The following is a 20,825-nucleotide window of genomic DNA, read 5'->3' on the forward strand; positions in this document are numbered from 1 at the left end:
TGTCTAGCATACAAGAGGTGCCTGAATTATAATAGCTAGCTATTATTTATCAATGTCTTCCTATAACACAAGTAATTATTTTGAAATGTGTGCTTTGAATTTTCAAAGTTGGGAATTCTATATATGGTATCACTATACACTCTAAAATATCCTATTTTCCAAAAATAATTTCAGTTGGACAACATTCAATTAATTGAAACTTTAAATAACTGTCATTTAGGCCCTTCAACATCTGATAATATTCCCTTTGCACTTATACTCCAGGCCAACTGCACAGCCTTCTAATTCCTGAATACACCCTTGCTTTCCTACATACCTTTGAAGATACTGTTTCTTCTGCTGAGAGAACTTTACCCCATCTCAGCCTACTGAAATCATTCCTCCTAGTGAGGCCAGCTAAAAATCCCACCTATTCACAAAGCTCTCTGCAAACTATGTGGACAGGTTTATTATATATACACACACAAGAAGGTAACACAAAATATAAAAAGCTACAAAGACAGAATGATCAACTTAAAAAGTTATTTATTAAACAAGTTAAACACAACTAAAAGTATATTTAGAGGTCCAAGATTCAAGTATTTTTGTCAAACTTTCTAATGATAAGGGGAATGATAAAAATTGAACAGATATAAAAAATATTCTTAAACAAATATTAAAGCACATGGAAAATTCAGAAATAAAAACACACCACCATATAAAGAAATCAAAATATTTCATATGTTTTTAAATGCTTATGGTATGAGAGCCAAATTGTCTATTTCCAGGTTAATAAACAATATATAAGCTCACCTTTTTAAAGGTATCATACTTTGTGTCATATAGAAATAATTTTGGAAACAGTATGTGTTGGGTGTGTAAATTGTCCACATTAAGCAAAACATATTTTACATATGAATATTTTCATTTATACTTACTGGAAAACAAAACAAAAAAACTTATAATTTAAACATCTTGATTTGAAAATAATTTTGGATTTGATAGTTCTGCTAAATTCCAACATCGTAACCGCCGAATGTGTTATCAAAAGATAGTTATTCAAAATTTTTTTAAAAAAGAATTGCTTCCCCAAATCTCAGTATTTTAGAGCAAAAGGAAAAATAACATATTCTTTGTTCATAAATTCTGATGCTTAGTTTCTACGTTAATACAAAAATGGTGCAATAAGGAAGAGTACTGTAGAAAAGCCACTGTCTTTTCAGTAGTTCCAAATGGTGTTATACAATATTTCACTGGAGATAGTGGTTGCACCACAGATTTGGCAGTTGCTTCTGTGTAAATCATAACTTTGCCCCATAACATCCACCAAAGGCTTTCAAACATAATTGACTTTGGCGGTACACATGGAGACCATGATGCGAACGGGGACTGCCAGTGGATATGAGGGCTTTTATGAAAGGGAGTTTGCTCTGTGTGTGTGTTTTGGGGAGGAAACAGCGGATGAAATAGTTTATCCAGAACTACAAAACACATTTTCCTAATTAGATCCCAACTGTATAAATAACATAAATCAAATGCTTAGAACTTAAATGAATTCAGAATTTCTGTAGGAGAGGCGAATCCTTTCCCCCCTCCCTTTTATAATTCTTCACAGAGGACAAAGCTTTAGTTACATACATTCTTCTGGACATGAAAGGAAAGGTCTTTTTGTCCCCTTCTCAGTCTGAAAGGGAAGGAGAACGAATAGACCTGCCACTGGCAGGGCTGGAGAAAGTGAAAGGCTCCTTGTCCTTTTCTTTACTGTCATGCTTATGCTTGTGTTTGTGCTTATGTTTATGCTTCTTCTTCTTTTTCTTGTGCTCATGGTGATGGTGGTGATGGTGGTCACTGTGTTTGGAGGCTGTAGATTCCTTAGTAAAGACTGAGAGTGGAGCGCTTGCCGCTGGATGCATACTCATCTCCAAAGGTGCTTGTTCTTTACCTTCAAGATTAAAAATACCCAAATGAATTCCTGCTGATGATACGGAAAGCCAGACTAAAGAAAGAGGAAGCTGATGACAGTATGTAAAGAGGGATTCCTAAGTTTTTATCACTTCTATCAGGAATGGGAGAAGTATCTAAATAAGACATGTAATTAGTTACACACAGAGTTTTTCAGCATTGTGGCCAGGAAGTTGAATATATAGTTCCTTATAGTCTATACAAATTTGGCCATATACCAGTGTGTTACCAAATCATCTTTTAAAAATTAATATTTTCTAAGTATTATGAAAAAACAATATTACACACGGTGTTATAGGTTAAGACCCACACTGGGTCCGGGGGCGGTGGCTCACTCCTGTAATCCCAGCACTTTGGGAGGCCAAGGCGGGTAGATCACTTGAGGTCAGGAGTTCGAAACCAGCCTGGCCAACGTGGTCAAACTCCATCTTTACCAAAAATACAAAAATTAGCCGGGCATGGTGGCGGGTGCCTGTAATCCCAGGTACTTGGGAGGCTGAGGTAGGAGAATCACTTGAACCTGGGAGGCCGAGGTTGCAGTGAGCTGAGATCGTGTCACTGCACTCCAGCCTGGGTGATAGAGTGAGACTCCATCTTAATAAACAAACAAACAAAAAACGACCAACATTGGTCAATGAAAACATAACTCACTCAATTACATAACTCACTCAATTGCTCTAAGGTATGGGGGAGGGGAAGATGACAGTACAGTTGACCCTTGAACAACATGGGTTTGAACTGCGTGAGCCCATTTATATGTGAACTTTTTTTTTTAACCAAACACAGATTGAAAATACAGATTTGAAGGATGCAAAACCTGCATATAGATAGAAGAGCTGGTTTTTCATATGGGCTGACTGCAGGACTTGAGTATGCATGGATTTTCGTATACCAGGGAGGGATCTTGGAACTAATCCCCTCTGCGTATACCAAAGGATGACTCTATTTTCTTTGTGCCATCTGGAGAACAACTGATATACCCATAAACATGCTATTCTAGCTACTGATAATGGTATCTCAGTGAAAATCAAACATTTGTATAGCTCCTTAAGACAATTTCTAGGGATAGACAAATGAACTCTAAGAAGATTCAGAATGCACAGCTTAAGAAACCCAGAAAAGGTGGGGAGTCTATAAAGGGAACATCTGTCTCTCTACACAGATGAGAGTAGTGTCAGTACAAAGAAAGAAACAGAATTAGAAGGCCCATACTCTAGACTAGGTTGTCCTGTTAGCCTTTAGCTATACTTCATCTCTCTGGGTCTAGTTCATCATCTAAAAATCTAGATCAAATGTCCTCAAAGGTTCTCTACAGTTTTAACATTCTATCCGTCTAGGAATCTATAACAGTAGTTCTCCAACTCTAGTGTACAGATTTGCTTTTTCCTCCAGACCCACAGGCCTATAATCCTTGGGCCATACTCTGAGAAACAAATCTCTCTCTATATTTATAGGTTAATGGTATTGCTTTACATGCAGCCAACTTAAGCCTAAGATTCATTTCAGATTCCCTCCCTTCCAGAGATACGTGGTTACCAAATATTGTTGATTCTCATAAATATCTCTTAAATCCGCCCCCCCCCATCCTAATCCTGTCTGCAACTGTATTAATTCAGACCACCTCACCTCATCTGGATTATGGGTACTAGTATTATAGATACTAGGTACTAGTCTCCTCCTAGTCACTAAGGTTTCTCTGCCTGAAGTATCTTATGGATTAAGTGTCTAATGTATATGTAGTTCACAGCAGTGGTTCTCAGAACACCAGGGGTGATTTTGCCCCCAAAGGGTTACTTGGCAATGTTCAGAGACATTTTGTTACTGACATCCTACGAGTAGAGGCCAGAGATGCTGGCAAACATCTTAAAATGCACAAGACACCCCTATACCCCCAACAACGAATTATGCCTAAAATGTCAACAGTGTCCAGGCTGGGAAACCCTGCTGCATCGTGGTCTTCCTAAACAAAGCTGCTTTTTATCTGCTTAAAAACCCGGTTGGTTCTACTGACAGTACAAAAGATAAACTCCTTGGACTTCAGTGAAGGAATTTCTGAAAAAATATATTATATATATTAATCCAAACTAGCTAAGAAAAAAGAAAAGGCTTTTCACTAAAATAGATTTCAATGTAGTTTCTTTTTTTAAAAAAGTAAATTTCTCATCACTAAGTTTGATCCAAACCAGCCCCCAAATCATGGTTTTCACCAAAACAGACATCACCACAGAAGCTTTCTAAAAATTACATTGCAGTACTAATTTTATTTATTGACAGTTCATAATCTGTCCTGAAGTTACCTTTCCAGCCTTCCATTCTTCCTTTCTATATACTACTCTAGGCTAAACCTTTCATAACACTGTGTATTTCTAAATGCTATTCCCTATGCTTGGGATGTCCTTCTTTCCTTATTTCTTGTCTAACTGATACACTCATTTAATAAACATCAGAAACTATATTGGGACTGGGGAAAATATTGATAAACTAGACAGATATCAGCCCTCATCCCTCCTAGGAGCTTACAGACTAGCAAAGAAGAAATAAATTGAGTAAGTGAACCTGAGTAATAAAAAGGCAAAACATAAAGTGAAACAGGAGCACAACAGGGCACTTAAATTAGTTGGGGGAAGAGGGGGATTAGAGAAGCAAAGTTCTCCAGGAAAGTAATGGTTAAGCTGCAACCTAAAGGAAGAAATAAGGAAACAAAGAACATCTTAGTTTCTTCAATAATTTAAAACCTAATTCAAATGTTTCTTTGGACGGTTTTCTTCAAATTTCCCAAAGGAACTGGTTCGTTCATGTTTCCACAGCATAATACAGATAAGGGAATTAAGTCAAAGAGAGATTTAAGTAATTTGCCCAAGGTGGTACTGGCAGGTCTGAGGCACAAATCTAAAGAGCCTGACTCCAGAGTCTTACTCTTAACCACGATGCTACAGTGTTCATCTACCCCAAGATGGACTGCTGTATTTCTTTTGTCTTTGAGTCTCTTCCATTAAACTGATAGCCTCTTGAGGACAGGAAGTTTGTCTTTTTCGTCTTTGTGTCCCAACATATAGCACAGTATCTATCATCCCCTACCCCGCCCCCTCTAACAAAGCTTGCTAAATGAATGAATGAATGACTATAACAGAATTATACAGTTGTGTTTCTTTTTAAATGTCAGGTGAACTTAGTCCAACTAAATATAACTTGAAGGTCACTGATTTTGAGGAGAGAAGAATAATGCACAAAAACTATTATAGCTCATCCATTCAAGTGGTATTTGACTCCTGTACTTCCTCTTTGTCAGGCACTGCTCCAATATTTTAGAACACGTGAACAAATCAAAGTTTCTGTGCTCACTTATTATTCACATTTTAGTATCCCAAAATTCTATTTCTTATATTCATAAACTTTGTAATAAAGCCAACACTAATACTCAAGTAAAAGCTAAACATATTATTTATATATACAGACAAGTTTGGAGAACTGTATCTTCTGTAATAACTGGTACCCAGATATTCTTTAAAAGGACAAAAATATTGAGATTATCTGATTTAGTTTCAGCCATATATGCTACCATATTTTAATTCAGATTTTAATACATAAATTGCTTGAATATGTTCCTGATTCTATGAATATGGGAATAGGCCAATACCTAACAGAATACACAGGCGGGTGATAAGAAGTAATAAGAAGCTTTAAAGTCTCATGAACAAATTCTTTTAGCTTCCATCTCATTATTTAATCATTCTATATCAACAGACTTTGCAGCTTTCTTGTTGGCTGTCTGCACTCTTGGGAGCTTGAGGTTCTCTTCTGCATTTCAGAGGAGAAAGAAGTTTTATCCTTTAATCCTAAACACCTACCAAACTACTTGGATTGCAGAAAGCCAGTCATTATGTTGGAACCTGTACTTCTCAGCACAGGCAACTGCCTAATGGGCAACTGAGCATTTGTAGGTGTAATCTTTTAAAAGAATACTTACAACCACTTCAAAAGTGAATCCAATTTTTTGTCTAGACAGTAGCCTTACACTTTGCATTAAAGAAATATTGGTAATAAATCTTGCATTTCTCTTGAGGTACATGAAGTCTACTAAGAAGACAATGGATTAGTTAGCACCAAGGACAAAGGAGTTAGAAACCAGGGCTCCTAGGACAAATGGCTAATTCCAGGTCTATGACAGAATATTTACAAGATGAGCTTGAAACACAGGGTCTAACTGCAAGGAAGTTAAAATCTTGTCAAATGAACTCAGTCCAAAGATGGAACAAATTGAATACTGATAAGGACAATAATTGTGATAGACTGAAAATGACTGCTCACCATTGGAGATTGCTAGTCAACAACTCATTACTTTGAAAATTATTAAATACATAGAAAAATTAAGCATTTATCTTTGTTTTCCTATAGACTTATACCACTGGGTAATAGTAAATGAAGAGAAATTTAGCTTTATAGAAGTAATCCAGCTTACAAATAAAAATGAAAGTATAAATTGAAATATCACTATCTTGCAACTTAATGAATTAAGGAATCTAGTTTGAACATCTATAGTGGTTAACCTCAAAAAGAGTCGACCAGACATTGTATGCTTCCAGACTAAAGAACACACACCCTCTGTAAACCTGAATCCAATTAGAATTCTAGATACAACTACAAATTTACAGAAACTAGAGAACTTAACATGTTAATTACATCATGGGTATAAAATTAATAAAATACAGACTTGAAAAGCACAGAACAAAACCTAGTTTCTTTAACAAATGTAAAAGAGGAAAAGAAAAGAGGTATGAGTTGGAAACACTAGAATGAAAAGTACAGAACAAAAACCTGGCTTCTTTAACAAATACATTGTAAGGGAGAAGAAAAGAGGTATGAACTGGAAATGTTAGATTCAAAAAGATACAAAGGCTATATCAGCCAACTGCAATGTGGACCCTACGTGGACACTGATTTAAACAAATAAATTGTTAAAAATAAAAATAAATAACGGCATTTAGAGTCAACTGAAACTTAAACAGTGACTGGATATTTAATGACATAAAAGAATTAGTAAGTTTTTTAGGTATAACATTACTGTGGTTATGACTTTTTAATGTGCTACCTTTTACAGATACATACTAAATAATTTATGAATAAAATTATATTATATTTGGGATTCACTTCAAAATAATTCAGAAGGGTAGAAATGGGTAAGATTAAATAAGACTGACCATGAACCAATTATTATTGAAGCTGAGTAACAGATACAGGGGCCTCATTATACTTGTCTGACTACTTTACAGTTCTCTATAATAAAGCTTTCATCTTTTTCTTTTTCTTTTTTTTTTTTTTTGAGACAGAGTCTCACTCTGTCGCCCAGGCTGGAGTACAGTGGCATGATTTTGGCTTACTACAACCTCTGCTTCCCAGGTTCAAGCGAATCTCCTGCCTCAGCCTCCCGAGTAGCTAGGATTACAGGTGCGTACCACCATGCCCAGCTAATTTTTGTATTTTTAGTAGAAGCAGGATTTCACCATGTTGGCCAGGCTGGTCTTGAACTCCTGACCTCAAATGATCCCCCACCTTGGCCTCCCAAAGTGCTAGGATTACAGGCGTGAGCCACCGTGCCTGGCCTAAAGCTTTTTTTTAAAGGAGAAATTAAAGCAATCTGGCAATACCATGAAAGTGTTACATGCCTATATTCCTTTAGAAAGTTTTCCAAGAATTTAATCCCATTAATATGCTCATGCATATGTGAAAAGACACATACACAAATATGTTAATTGGCAGTAACAGGAGAACAAATCATCTATGCTACCCTATCATCACCAACAACCTTTAGCTCTTAAGTTTTCACTTATACTATAAACTATAATTGCATACTATATACTATAATTGAATATAAGTATACTATATATATACAGTTGTATATATATAGTATGTTTTATTTATTCTCTCTAGAGAATATATGTTTATATATTCTTTTTCTCTCTCTATATATGTACGTATGTATGTTTTGCTTATTATCTATCTCTCCTAAATAATGTTTACCAGCTCTAATCTAACGTGGTAAGAAAGCATAATTTCCTTATAATCAGATTTGGGACACACAAGTTTACTTTCATAGGAGCATAATGAGGTCATCTATAGAACTCTATCAAGACAATACATATATTACCATCCCTTGATACAAACATTTACACAGATAATTTCACATATCCTTTCAGGGATTTACAAGACGTCTGCTAAATTGTCCATTCACAGGCACCACTCATCTTTAGGCTAATAAAAGTCCTTTTAGTAAACTGAAATACATGTCACTCTTCTAAACAGCAAATATATCAGAGAAAGGAGATACATTTAATTCACAATAAAAAAATTTTCCTATTTCATGTTATATGGAAAGAACAAAAGAGATGTTCAGAGTTGTATTGTTCTACTCAATGTAAACTCTTTCCTGGAGACCAAACAAAATGCACCATGGATAAGGGTTACCTGCAGTCAAGTTAACAAATGTAAAACAAATAGAAAGAGGTACTTAATGTAAGTCTAATGTGGAAGGATTTCAGCCCATGTGATGAAAGTGCTGATAAGAAACTGTGAATAACCTGCTAATTCTACTAAATTCATTCACCTTAGGTATATGTTTAAATTTAACACAAAACCTGCAGTTTTTATTAGGAAAGGTGTAAGTTCTGTTCTTCAGATTGTTTAGATCACTGTAAAAAAAAAGTAGAATTATATCATTATAATTTAAGGATAAAAAAATCAAAGTCTGTTTTTTGTACTGGTTTCAAAAGAAAGACCTCTAGGGCAAGCTCTCAAGCTTTAAAGAAGTTTTTTTTTTTTTTTTTTTAAATTAAAAAATTTACCAGAATTGTGTTTTTCTGACTTATGCAAGAAGGCATTACATAATACTGCAGCCCTAGCTAGGCAGCTGCAGAAACTCTCCGCTTCTTTCCCACAAAAACCACTAGGGAATTCCCTTGCTCCTTGTTCCCCTTGCCCGGCCTCTCTTCTCCAGCACTGCAATCCCTACAGTAACCTGGGAGACAGTCCAGTCACCTCAAGCTCTGCAGTAACAGACAGGGAGCTGCTGTGGTGAGAAGGGAGAGAATATTGTATGTTCATCCCTATCACCGTGGGAACCATAAAGGCCATTTCTTTATATCCCCTTCCTTACCTCAGGAAAAGGAAAATAAATAATAAAGTAATGAAGGAAAATACTCTTGCCATTTCTCCCTTCTCATCCCAATGGCTTAATCTAACACCCACATATGATCCTGCCCTAAAATATTCTACTATCAAATGCAAGGAAAGGGAAAACTGGGGAAGCAAGGTTAAAAAGTAAACCATAATGTGTCCTCTACTTAACAGTTTCCATCTCTTCTTTAAACCCATATTCTTTTTCTATCCCTCCTAGACAAGGTCTGTAACACATTCCAGTTCTCAATTATCATCGGGCTCCTTGGCTCTAAGGGGGCCATCTAGGACTTCATCTCAGCTCATGAATAAAATAAAATAAAAAGCAGAGGCCAGAAACTCAAAAGCCTTGTCCTGAGGAACAGCATAAATGAGTAAACAGACTACTGGGTGCGGCATAAGAGATCACACGCCTTACTAAAAAGCCTCTCACACTTTTTCAAGAAAAGCTAGAAATCCAGAATTGCTTTTTTTCTTTGTTTCCTGAATGTCTCTATCAGAGTAAAAGGAAATCCATATTTTTATGTGTAACCTCTTCATTTTTAGTTATCTACTTCAAAAACTTTTGTGAGACTTATAAGAAGATGCCTCAGCTTGATGAACTGGATATAGGCCAAAAAACCTCATTTGTGATCTCTAATCTAGAATCCCTAGAGACTGAAGAGAGGTCACAGCTTCCCTCACCAGTGCTGTCTCCCTCCTAAACCCGCAACTCTCAACCCCAAGAAAGGTGGCTGCCATGGTAAGAGATCTTCAGCTTCTGCTGGGAGGCAGGAAGACAAGAAATTCCTTTTTCACTGCCAATTTGACTTGACTTGGGTTAGGCTAAAGTTATGCTTCCCACATGCCAAAAGTTGGAGCTCTGAGTGAATCTTCTCACAGAAACGTTGATACACACAAGGGCTAGGTTTGATATTTGTATTCCTGATGTATGGTAGGAGTTGTAAAGCTTTTGTTGGCTAGTTTGGAAAAGTTACTTAACAAATAAAACAATGTCGCCAGGCCTGGTGGCTCACGCCTGTGATCCTAGCACTTTGGGAGGCTGAGGCTGGTGATCACTTGAGGCCAGGAGTTTGAGATGAGCCTGGCCAATATGGTGAAATCCTGTCTCTACTAAAAAAAAAAAAAAAAAAAAAAAATTAGCCGGGTGTGGTGATGCATGCCTGTAATCCCAGCTACTTAGGAAGCTGAGGTACGAGAATCACTTGAACCCAGGAGGTGGAGGTTGCAGTGAGCCAAGATCGCATCACTGCACTCCAGCCTGGATGACAGAGTGAGACTGTCTCAAAAAAAAAAAAAAAAAGAAAAGAAAAGAAAAGAAGAAGAAGAAGAAACTACCTATAGAAAAACTGCATTCAAAATTCCAAAATAAATATATTTATAAATAAACCTTCAAAACACTATTATTTGTAAAATGAAGGTTTTCTACATTCTTGTAATATCACTGTTGAATTTTAAGACTTGCTCAGTGACCTCAGAGTACTGAACAGCAAAAACACATTTAAAGGAAATTACAGTCACATTAAAGAATATATTCAAAGTTAAGATTACTAGATCAGTCCATCTAACTGGTATACATTTTTGCCTCATGCCAAGAAAGGACCCGACACTAATAGCAGCCAAAACTCAAATGTTAATGCATTCCTATTCCCCACCATTAGGGCTGTGTTTCTTTCTCCCCAGTCTTCCCATATGATGCCATGAGAACTAAAAGCCTATAAAGAAAGAACTGAAAAAAAGTGAAAATGTATTTTTAAAAGCAATAAGGATCAATGATAAAAAGGCACACTGGTGGGCACAAAAAAAAGTGTTCAGATTTGCTTCTACATAGGTTAATGTGCCACACCGCTAAGAAAAACCAAATGTATTCTGACTCTTTTTGGAACAGTAATTGATTAGACTCTCGGAAATTTAGAGAGAATTTTTTTTTAAAGGTAAGCAGAAGCATCATCCTCAAACTGTATGAAGGAGTTTGAAATTCTCTAAGCTTTATAATTTTTAAAAATGTAGAAAATTATTTACATCTAGTAAAATTTCAAAATTACACCAAAACCAAAAGAATACAAAAAATCAGGAAGGGCCAAGAAATATCAAAACTCACTCATTAAGTGCAATAAGTCCCCAACTGATTTCTTTCTGAAACATATTTTAGGTGAATCTATTCCAATAAATGCACAGAACACACAACGGTAAGCAATCAACAGTCTGGGGTCTCAACATCAAAACAGTTTAATGTGCTGCTTTTGTTTGAAGTCCCCTGTTAATAACAGTTAATTTATAAGCTTCTCAAAGCAATAAACAGCACTCTTTAAAATATCAGATAAAAACATAATTTATATAAGCAAAGTCCATCAACTGGAATATAATCAGAAGTTCACAGACTGTAAAGTCTGTCTACTTCTGGAAAAACTATTCTTTAAAAATGATTTTGTTTATGTATCTTGTTTTTTCACTCCCTGTTCCTTGAGAATTTGAGGACTGAATCTTTGTTTCACGGTAGTTCATCAGCATCAAATGTTTGCACTTCATTTGGATTATAATCCTCTCTTTGTAAGTGATGAAACAGAATAAGCAGAAAACAATGTGAAACAGAATAGGTAACAAACACATCTGAATTAAATTACTTTTCACAAACTTAAGCCCAATTACTGTGAAATGATATAAGAGAATATAGCATCAAGTCTTCAGGAGTGAATCACCAATTATATACACGAGTGGGGGATAAGTGGTTGATTTTTTATTTTATGCGTTTATATCTTTTTTATAAAGGTACAAATTAGATGGTTTCTATTGAAGTTGGCATTTGTCATAATATTCTTAGAAAAAGCATGGCAAAGAAAGAGCAAAATGTTCATTATAATTAAATGGCATTATCTTTTAAATTATCTTTCAATGGCATATGGGGGATAATTTTTTTCTCACCTAATTTTCTTTTATTTCCAAGTTTTCTATAATAGGAATACATTACTTTTGAAAAAGAAGTCTATTTTAAAATAGTCTTTAAAGTTAGACAATATAAGCTCAATGTATTACAAGAAAAGCCAAGTCCTAAGATCTGTATTTTTAAAGGGTTTTTTAAAGTTGATGAAGTAACTCTATTACATTTATAGATTTGTTCTTGAACAAAATAATATTAATTCTGATTAATTATTTTTACCTGTTCCCTTCCGTGCAAGTTCCAAACTCCACTGGGGTTTTGTGGTGGGTGTGCTGTCACAGCCTGCTGAGTGCTGGGGTATTAAAGCAGATCGGGAGCTAGCTGGCCGATATTTCGAGAGCCCTAAAATGCCAAACAAGAGAAAAAAGAGGGATTTATTTCTTTGTTTCCCAAAAGAAAAAAAAAGGCTGACAGGTTTTTATAAGCTAGCCTTAAAGACAGAAGCAATTCATCCACAGTAAAATTCTAACAATTGAAAGAATACTAGCTGGGTGGAGTGGCTCACATCTTTAATCCCAATGCTTTGGGAGGCTGAGGAGGGAGGATCGCTTGATGCCAGGAGTTCAAGACCAGCCTAGACCCCGTCTCTACTAAAAATACAAAAATTAGCCGGGCATGGTGGTGCGCGCCTGTAGTCCCAGCTACTTGGGAGGCTGAGGCAAGAGAGTCACTTGAACCCGGGAGGCAAAGGCTGCAGTTAGCAGAGATGGCACTACCGCACTCCAGCCTGGGAAACAGAGTGAGACTCCATCTTAAAAAAAAAATTTAAAAAAACCCCAAAAAACAAAAACAGTAAACCTGAGTTATTTTACAGTTACTCTAAAAGTTCTGAATTATTACACTGATGACAAGTGCTATGACAGATAATGGTCATAAATGAAAATTAATGAATTACAACTTATATACCAATAAGAATTTTAGAAACATAACGCTAAGTGAAAAAAAGCAAGTCATGTTATACCATTTCTTAAAAAATTCAAAAAAGAAGTGCAACTAAATATACAGGATCACATACCTATGTGGAACACTATAAAGAAAAGCAACAGAATGAAATTAAAAAAAAAAAAGAAAATGCAATATAGTAGTTACTTGTAGTGGAAAGGCAGTAGAACAGGACCAGGGAAAAAGCATATACGAAACATCTGTGCATGATATATAATGTACATGTTAACTTTGGTGGCAGGTACACAGATACTTGCTTTATTACTATATGTCACAACTTTTATCAAAGGCTTTTATTCCTTAAAAATTAGAAAAAGCTTATGATATAAACTGGTATAATCTCTCAAAAAACATGGCAATACATATCAAGAGCTATGAAAATCTAAAGACATGTATCTCACAATATAGCTAACATTAATCTTTTCACTAATAATACATTTCGGGAAATTTATCCAAGAAACATAAATTAACAAAAAAATAAAGTGCAGAATTACCTACAATACATAAAAATGAAAAACAACCTAATGCCTATCAATAAGGAAATGACAAGGTAAATCTTAATATATTGACTCTATGTTGTCTTAGGTAGTATTTTCAAAAGAAAACATGCTTTTTGAATGATGTAGGAAAATGACTGACATAATATTATATGAGATAGGCAGGCAAAAAGAGAAAGTGGTGCTACAAGCAGCTTTAACTGCAGTTAAAAAAATTAATGTAACTATGGTTACATGAAGTCAAGTCTACCACATACACACACAAAAGAGAAATCAGAGCTACTAGAAAGAATCTGAATGATGGATTTTATACAAGCAAATACTTAAAAAGGACCAAAATAAAAAAGCCAAAAGAAGCACTTTTTCTATTTGTTATTTTGCCAATTTATGTTATAATCTGCTACAATTTAATATTTTAAGCTGGCTAATTTTAAACTGTATAGTTGTTCATTTGAAAATAAAGTAACACACATTAGAATACTGACATCAACCAATGTCTCCATCTCCTCAATGATTGCAGAATACTAATCTTACCTGGAGTTGACGGCCTTTCAAGCATGTTTAAATGATGGGAAATGAAGGCCTGGCTATCATGAACAGTATCCATATCAATCTCCTCCTCATCTTGAGAACTGGAAAACTAAAACACACACACATAAAACAGAGGATAAAAGAACCATTACATCATGTTATGTTTGGATATTAGCTCTTAGGAAAAGTAGCAGAGAGGCCATAGGATATACCCCCATATAATCTTAAAATAAAAAGTAGTTTCTTTCTTCAAAGATATTAAGAGAAAGAAAAGATTATGTGGTCCAGCCTCTAAAAGAAGCCAATTAGAAATTACTGGAAATGTAATAGCAACTAAAATCTACTCCTATTTTGTGAGAAAAAGTAGTGAGTTGTGGTGGAACGTGCACACATAGTTCCTCCCCCAAACAGAGAAGAATTATGTGATAATATAAGTTAAATACTTGGTTCGAATGTCTCAGAAGGACCTTTGAGTTTTATAATGCAGTCTGTTGCGTGTGTTCCTGCTAAGGAAAAACCACTGCAAGTATTCAAAAAGATTTACAAGAAGGTGAATATCCTACACTGTTAATACAGGTTTAACCTGTATTTCTTACTCTGATTTTGAGTTTGACTTTACTGCTATCCTCATTCTTCTCCAGTATTTGACCAGGTTCTAGTGGGGACCCCAGTGGTGTATCAGACTTCCTCTTCACTCCCTGCTGATGAGCTGATATATTACATGATGCTTCCTTGGCAAGGTGATCATCTTCCTGCGGCAATATTCAAGATCAAAATTAGATTTCTGAAGACGAGTAGCTCATATTATAGCTGAAAACTAATAGCTATAGCAACCATGCAGATTAGAGCATGCCCAGTGCTAGAAATTATCAGCAATGGGCTTAAAATAAATGTAATCTTTTCTTGTCTGCTGGTCTTTTTGGGGGGAGAAGGGAGGTATTTAAGTGAACTTTTAGAGGTTTCCCAAAAGAACATGTCCTTTGATGCCATTTTCTCCTCTTAGCCTGCAGTGTGAATGTGGATAAATTAACATATATGAGCAAGAATTATAAATATATCAATTTTCACAGGTTGATGAGTATGTAGATCTGAAAGAGCTCTTTAATGAGACTCTTTTTTTTCTATGTAAATGTCTGTCTTACTTCTTCATAACCCAAACTCTAGGACATATTTTAAATTGACAACAAATAAGTATGATGATACTTCAGAAAATTTAGGTGAATAAGCAAATTTAAAATGAACTATTACTAACTAGCATAGAGAGAATCTGCATTTTAAAGTGTCAAAACACCAGTAGGGAATTGCCAGGCAAGTAATCTGGTCTAAATATTGGTGAAAAATGAAGCTTGAAGTATTGGAGACATTTTGTCATCAATAAAAAAACATTTCAGGAAAAATTTATTTAAATTACAGTAAAATGATTAATATGTATCCTATAAGTCTTTCTACAAAATGTCTGGTAATTTTATAATACAAAGGTAGAAATAAAAGCTTCTCTAAAGGCAAACGAATGTGTGTGTGTGTGTGTGTGTGTGTGTGTGTGTGTGTGTGTGTGATATAAAATGTTTTAAAATGTAACACACAGTCTCCTCCCAAATCAGCAGATTATTAATTTACCTAGTCATTCATTCATTCATTATTTATTTCATTCAACAAGCATTTGCCAGGCATTTATCATATGTTTAGAACTGTGCTAGGTATTACACAGAGCAACAATTTTAAAAAGACAAGGCCCCTGTTTTCACGTGGCTTACCATTAACACATATGGGACAAGATGGGTTAATATGTAATAGGTTAAATATTCAGCTGGGTGTGGTGGCTCACGCCTGTAATCCTAGCACTTTGGGAGGCCACGGTGGGTGGATCACCTGAGGTCAGGTGTTTGAGACCAGCCTGGCCAACATGGTGAAATTCCGTTTCTACTAAAAATACAAAAAATTAGCCAGGCATGGTGGCAGTCACCTGTAATCCCAGCTACTCAGGAGGCTAAGGCAGGAGAATTGCTTGAACCTGGGAGGCAGAGGTTGCAGTGAGCTGAGAGTGAGTCATTGCACTCCAGCCTGGGGAACAAGAGTGGAACTCTGTCTCAAAAAAAAAAAAAAAAAAAAAAAAGGTTATTCGTTTCTATCTTTTGCTACTCAGAGAAGAAATTCTATGCTCAAGTATAAAAAAAATAACTAGGTTATCACAATACGAGTAACAGGACCGGGAGCACATCATTCGTTATGTGCAGTTTTATAGTTGCCAGTAGCATTTTATAATTGGCACAGTACTAATCAAATGTCAGCCAGCATTTTTTAAAAGGACACAAGAAACTGTGTTAGTGGCTATAAAATTCACTAGTTCACAGGAAACAATTCTCTTCTCTAGATCCTCTATATAATGAAACTACGTCTTCTGTAATACATGTGATTCTTACAGGGTTCTGAAATCCAACTAGCTGTGGGTGACTGCTTGGATTATTTGCAGCTTCTTGGTTGCCTGCTACTGACTCTGGAATTATGGTAGGATTCAAGACAGCTTTTTTCTCCTTTAGATTAAGAACCAACCCAAGCTCTGGCAAGGGTAAACAGGAAGGTCTACTGAGGCCAAAAAGTGTGAAGTACAAGTCCACAGCACCACACCGTAACCTCCAGTCATGTGAAGTACCTAAAAAGTAAGTAATAAAGAAATGAGTCAATATGCACATTGATTCATACATTTTAACTGTCCCAGAACCTGAACAACAAAAGGAACTTTATAACTGGAAAAACCTTTATCACACCTTTCATCTTACAAAATGAATACTAGACATCAACCAAAAATCTAACATTCCAAAAACTGTATTTTTATAGCCTTAATTCTTCCTTTTTATTCTTTCTCCTCAGTAATTATCCCACATTCATTCATTCTCTGTTCATCGTGTCTGATTCTCTTCATTAACAGCCTGTTAGGAAGACAGCCTCCATGAGCCTTTGCATTCCCTATCATGGAAACACATTTTCTGATCTCTAGAACTTACTACTTTCAGGTTTTACATATAGTAAGAAACCATACAACTACTATTGGACTTATTGTAAAGGAGGAAAATATTTTGCTAAACACCTTTGTATTTGTGTTACTGCAGTGAGAACTTATTTATGATTTTTAAATAACAGAAATAAGCAAACCACAAGCATGACAATGGGCAGTAGACGTGGACTTGACCAGAAAATAACTGCCTGGGTAGAAGTTCAGTTTCTCCTGGTTGACACACTAGAGGCAAGTTCTTTCCATTTCTCTGAGTCTCAGTTTTTTCTTCTCCAAAATAGGAGTTTTGGTCTCAAGTCATACCGTACCCCACAGCAATGACAGATCAGAGCACATTGATACCAGGGTTTTCCCGCCTTCCTTTTCTCCCCAGTACAACACTCCAGTAGATATTGTCATCAAATAGAACTGACTAAAAAGATGAAATTTGTCAGCTAGGGTTACACAATCTATATGGTTTCTAGTCAGAATTTTAAATGACTTGAAGAGTATAGAACAAATGAACAGAAGAAAAGTGGATATTCTTCTTGAGAAGAAAAAAAACCCCGGCTAGGCATGGTGGCTCATGCCTGTAATCCCAGCACTCTGGGAGGCCGGGGTGGGCAGATCGCTTGAGCTCAGAAGTTCAAAACAAGCCTGGGTAACATGGCGAAGCCCACTCTCTACTAAAAATACAAAAATTAGCTGGGTGTGGTGGTGCATGACTGTAATCCCAGCTACTTGGCTGGGTGAGGCAGGAGAATCGCTTAAACCCAGGAGGCAGAGGCTGCAGTGAGCCAAGATTGCACCACTGCACTCGAACCTGGGCAACAGAGTGAGGCCTTGTCTCAAAAAATAAAGAAAGGAAGGAAGGGAGGGAGGGAAGGGGGAGGGAAGGCCCTTAAATACCTAATTTTTACCAAGAACTGTTGTTTCAAAAGAGTACCACATTTAAAAAGGAGAAACAAAAAGGAAAAAATTTGGATATCATAAATATTAAACTTTGTGGTTTTCCACAACAAATATTAATATAAGTAAATAAATTATCAACTAATAGTAATTCTTATCAGATTTACTCTAACAGGTAACTATTAATTATACGCAAATCTGCAATGGGAAAAATTGTAAACTCACTTTCATACTAGATAGTGCATTGTACTAGGCCACTGTGCATGCTATAATGTTGTGAAAGAGCTCTCATCATTCCTACTTCAGACATTTTCAGTTTTGCTGCTGTGTGACATACAACACTGGTAGAAGCAAGAGACAGGCAAGAGCTACAGACAACCAAGTAATGGAAAAAACATTACATAGTAAAAGCAAGAATTTTACACTGGAAACCCATTTTCCCTTCCTGGAATATGCATATGTGGACACTTCAATAGCTTGAGGTAGTATTATTTTGTAGGCATTCATTTCTCCTCCTCAAAGCATTTTACATATAGAAAAGTTCCACAAAGAGGAGGTTATCAGATTCCTGGGGCTTCTATTAGCAAAGGCTAGAGGGTCTCAACCCTCTGAGGGAAGGGAAGAAATGCCAGGAGTGAGCAATAAAAAGTCTGGCAACCCAGAGCAGCTGGCCCTGTATCTCTCTATCCATGGGTATAGCAAGAAAAGGAGTGAATCTTAGGCATTTTATCAGTTAAAAAAAAAAAAACAAAAAACAGAACAGAACAGTTTAGAGTACATTTGCTGTTTGGAAGAAAACTAAACCCTGAAGATCAATGTCGCCATGATTATGTGTGCTACAAAAACCAGCCTGAACTTTTGTATGCTGTCGATGATCTCAAAATGAGTCATTCAATTGTGAATCCCTTAACATTTAAAAAATATATGTTAATTTTAAAAGACAAATTGAGTATGTGTATTTTGATGAGCTAGGGCTTTTATTTTGTTTTTGAACGTCAGCTTAAGGATGATTAGGCAGCACAGTAAAGGCTGCTAAGTGCACTGAAGCCCTCGAATATGATTTTGGTTACTTTTTATTTCTATGTGGGCTTTTTGGTTTTGCTAGACCTTTAATTTGGACAAAGGAATGAACACCACTGTTTTGTTCCTAAGGGAGGTTCTTGATAGTGTTTTCTGTCTTCTAAAAATGAACTTACATATTAAAATTGGAGACAAGGGAGCTAAAAAATGAATAACAGTACTTTTGTTAAAAGTACAAAAGAGAGCAAAAAATAGAGATAAAAGCCAAAATTTCATTGTATTTCAAAATCATGGAATAAAATCTTAAGATGGTTGTCACGTTAGTACATTAGTATATTTCACTTAAGTTGAGAGACAGAATGGGAAAAAAACACTTCTAATTAATTGCCTGTTAGCTCTGTGACCTTGGGCAAGTCAGCTGTCTGGGCTATAACTGAGATGATCAGAGTAGTTCACTCAGATGATCTTTAAGACTCCCCTCATCAGGTCTAAAATCTGATGATTCCAAGTCAATCAATCCCATTGGAGAGAGGCCCTGAACAGCCTCTGATTTCTGCCTTCAGTTACAGTATTCTGAAGACCCATCTTTAATCTTCCAGCTACCTCCCCTTTCCCCATCACTTATGGCAACGAATGATCACATGACAAAATGACAGTCACTAGTCTCTCCTCCCAGGAAAATTGCTATTCATCCTGTCTTCATTAGCAGTTATACTCTGAGACCAAGCCTGTTTATCTGAATTAGAACAACAACACTCAAGAAGTAGGAAACCCAGTATTAATGTTGTCTGTTCAAATCAGAAAGTGCCTTGAGACAAACACCACCAAAGTAGTAAATCTGATCCTACCGAAAAATCATCTCTTCATTTTCTGAGGTAACTGCTATTAAAACTGATCAACTAGGCCGAGGCAGGAGGATCACAAGGTCAGGAGATCGAGACCATCCTGGTTAACACAGTGAAACCCAGTCTCTACTAAAAATACAAAAATTAGCCGGGCATGGTGGCAGGCGCCTGTAGTCCCAGCTACTCGGGAGGCTGAGGCAGGAGAATGGCATGAACCTGGGAAGCGGAGCTTGCAGTGAGCCAAGATCGCACCACTGCACCCCACCCTGGGTGACAGAGTGAGACTCCGTCTCAAAAAAACAAACACAAACAAAAAAAACTGATCAACTAAAAAAGCTGCTAAGAAGAAAATTCACTTTGAAAGCCACTGTTTTCAGGACACTTCTGAATAAACCCAGCACTCCTTATTGATGGCTGAAGCTTAGAAATTTGTACACAGTTAAGCCAGAAATACAACTCTCACTGGGTATTATTGTCCTGACTGTTCTGTCCATCTTACAATAAACAAAAACAGCAAACTCATTTCTATTTATGTGTGTGTGTGTATATATATATAATTTCCTAAGCAGATGAATCAATATGTTTTCATTTTCTTCAACCATTTCCATTCCTAAGAAAGAAGGTATTAGGGAGAGAGACGGTGGGACAGAGCTTTGAAACCTTCTGATGTTAATATCAAAACTGTTTATTTTCTTACTCTGAAACCTGGCAAATCCTATCAAACTGAATTAGAAGTTGTCCCTCATTCTACTCCCTTGAGTGTAGTTGTAAATTTCCAAACATTAAAAATTATGATGTAAATAAACAGCATTCAATGACTTGAACAATTAATATTTTTATGTCATTCTTATAGTAATATGCCAGACACTAAAGGTCAATGTGGAAGCAACAGCTAAAATTTCCTTCATAATGATAAAGAGTCAAAGATACCATCTCCTCAATGAAGATCTGTTTCTTCAGAAATAAAAAAAACACTCTATTAGGCAAGACAAGCAAAAGTATTTAAGTCTTAAATAAAATATGGAGCCCCAATAAAAATCTCC

The 20,825-nt window shown here is 36.0% G+C and overlaps 1 protein-coding gene across 8 annotated transcripts in view; it reads right to left on the reverse strand.

Moving 5' to 3' along the window:
- Positions 509 to 20,825, reverse strand: part of TAF2 (TATA-box binding protein associated factor 2) — a 102,068-nt gene continuing 81,751 nt past the window's right edge. For 5 of the 8 annotated variants that reach the window (NM_001438084.1, NM_001437338.1, XM_017013780.2 and 2 more), the window contains 5 exons: positions 16,440 to 16,669; positions 14,616 to 14,771; positions 14,023 to 14,128; positions 12,269 to 12,391; positions 509 to 1,921 (listed from right to left, as the gene is read on the reverse strand). In NM_001438084.1, coding sequence (NP_001425013.1) covers positions 1,659 to 1,921; positions 12,269 to 12,391; positions 14,023 to 14,128; positions 14,616 to 14,771; positions 16,440 to 16,669 — 878 coding nt within the window. In that variant the 3' untranslated portion in view covers positions 509 to 1,658. The remainder of the gene's footprint in view (positions 1,922 to 12,268; positions 12,392 to 14,022; positions 14,129 to 14,615; positions 14,772 to 16,439; positions 16,670 to 20,825) is intronic. The other 3 variants (NM_001437339.1, NM_003184.4, XM_047422152.1) reach the window with 1 other exon arrangement.

Source organism: Homo sapiens, chromosome 8 (assembly GCF_000001405.40).
Source record: "Homo sapiens chromosome 8, GRCh38.p14 Primary Assembly".
NCBI lineage: Eukaryota > Metazoa > Chordata > Mammalia > Primates > Hominidae > Homo > Homo sapiens.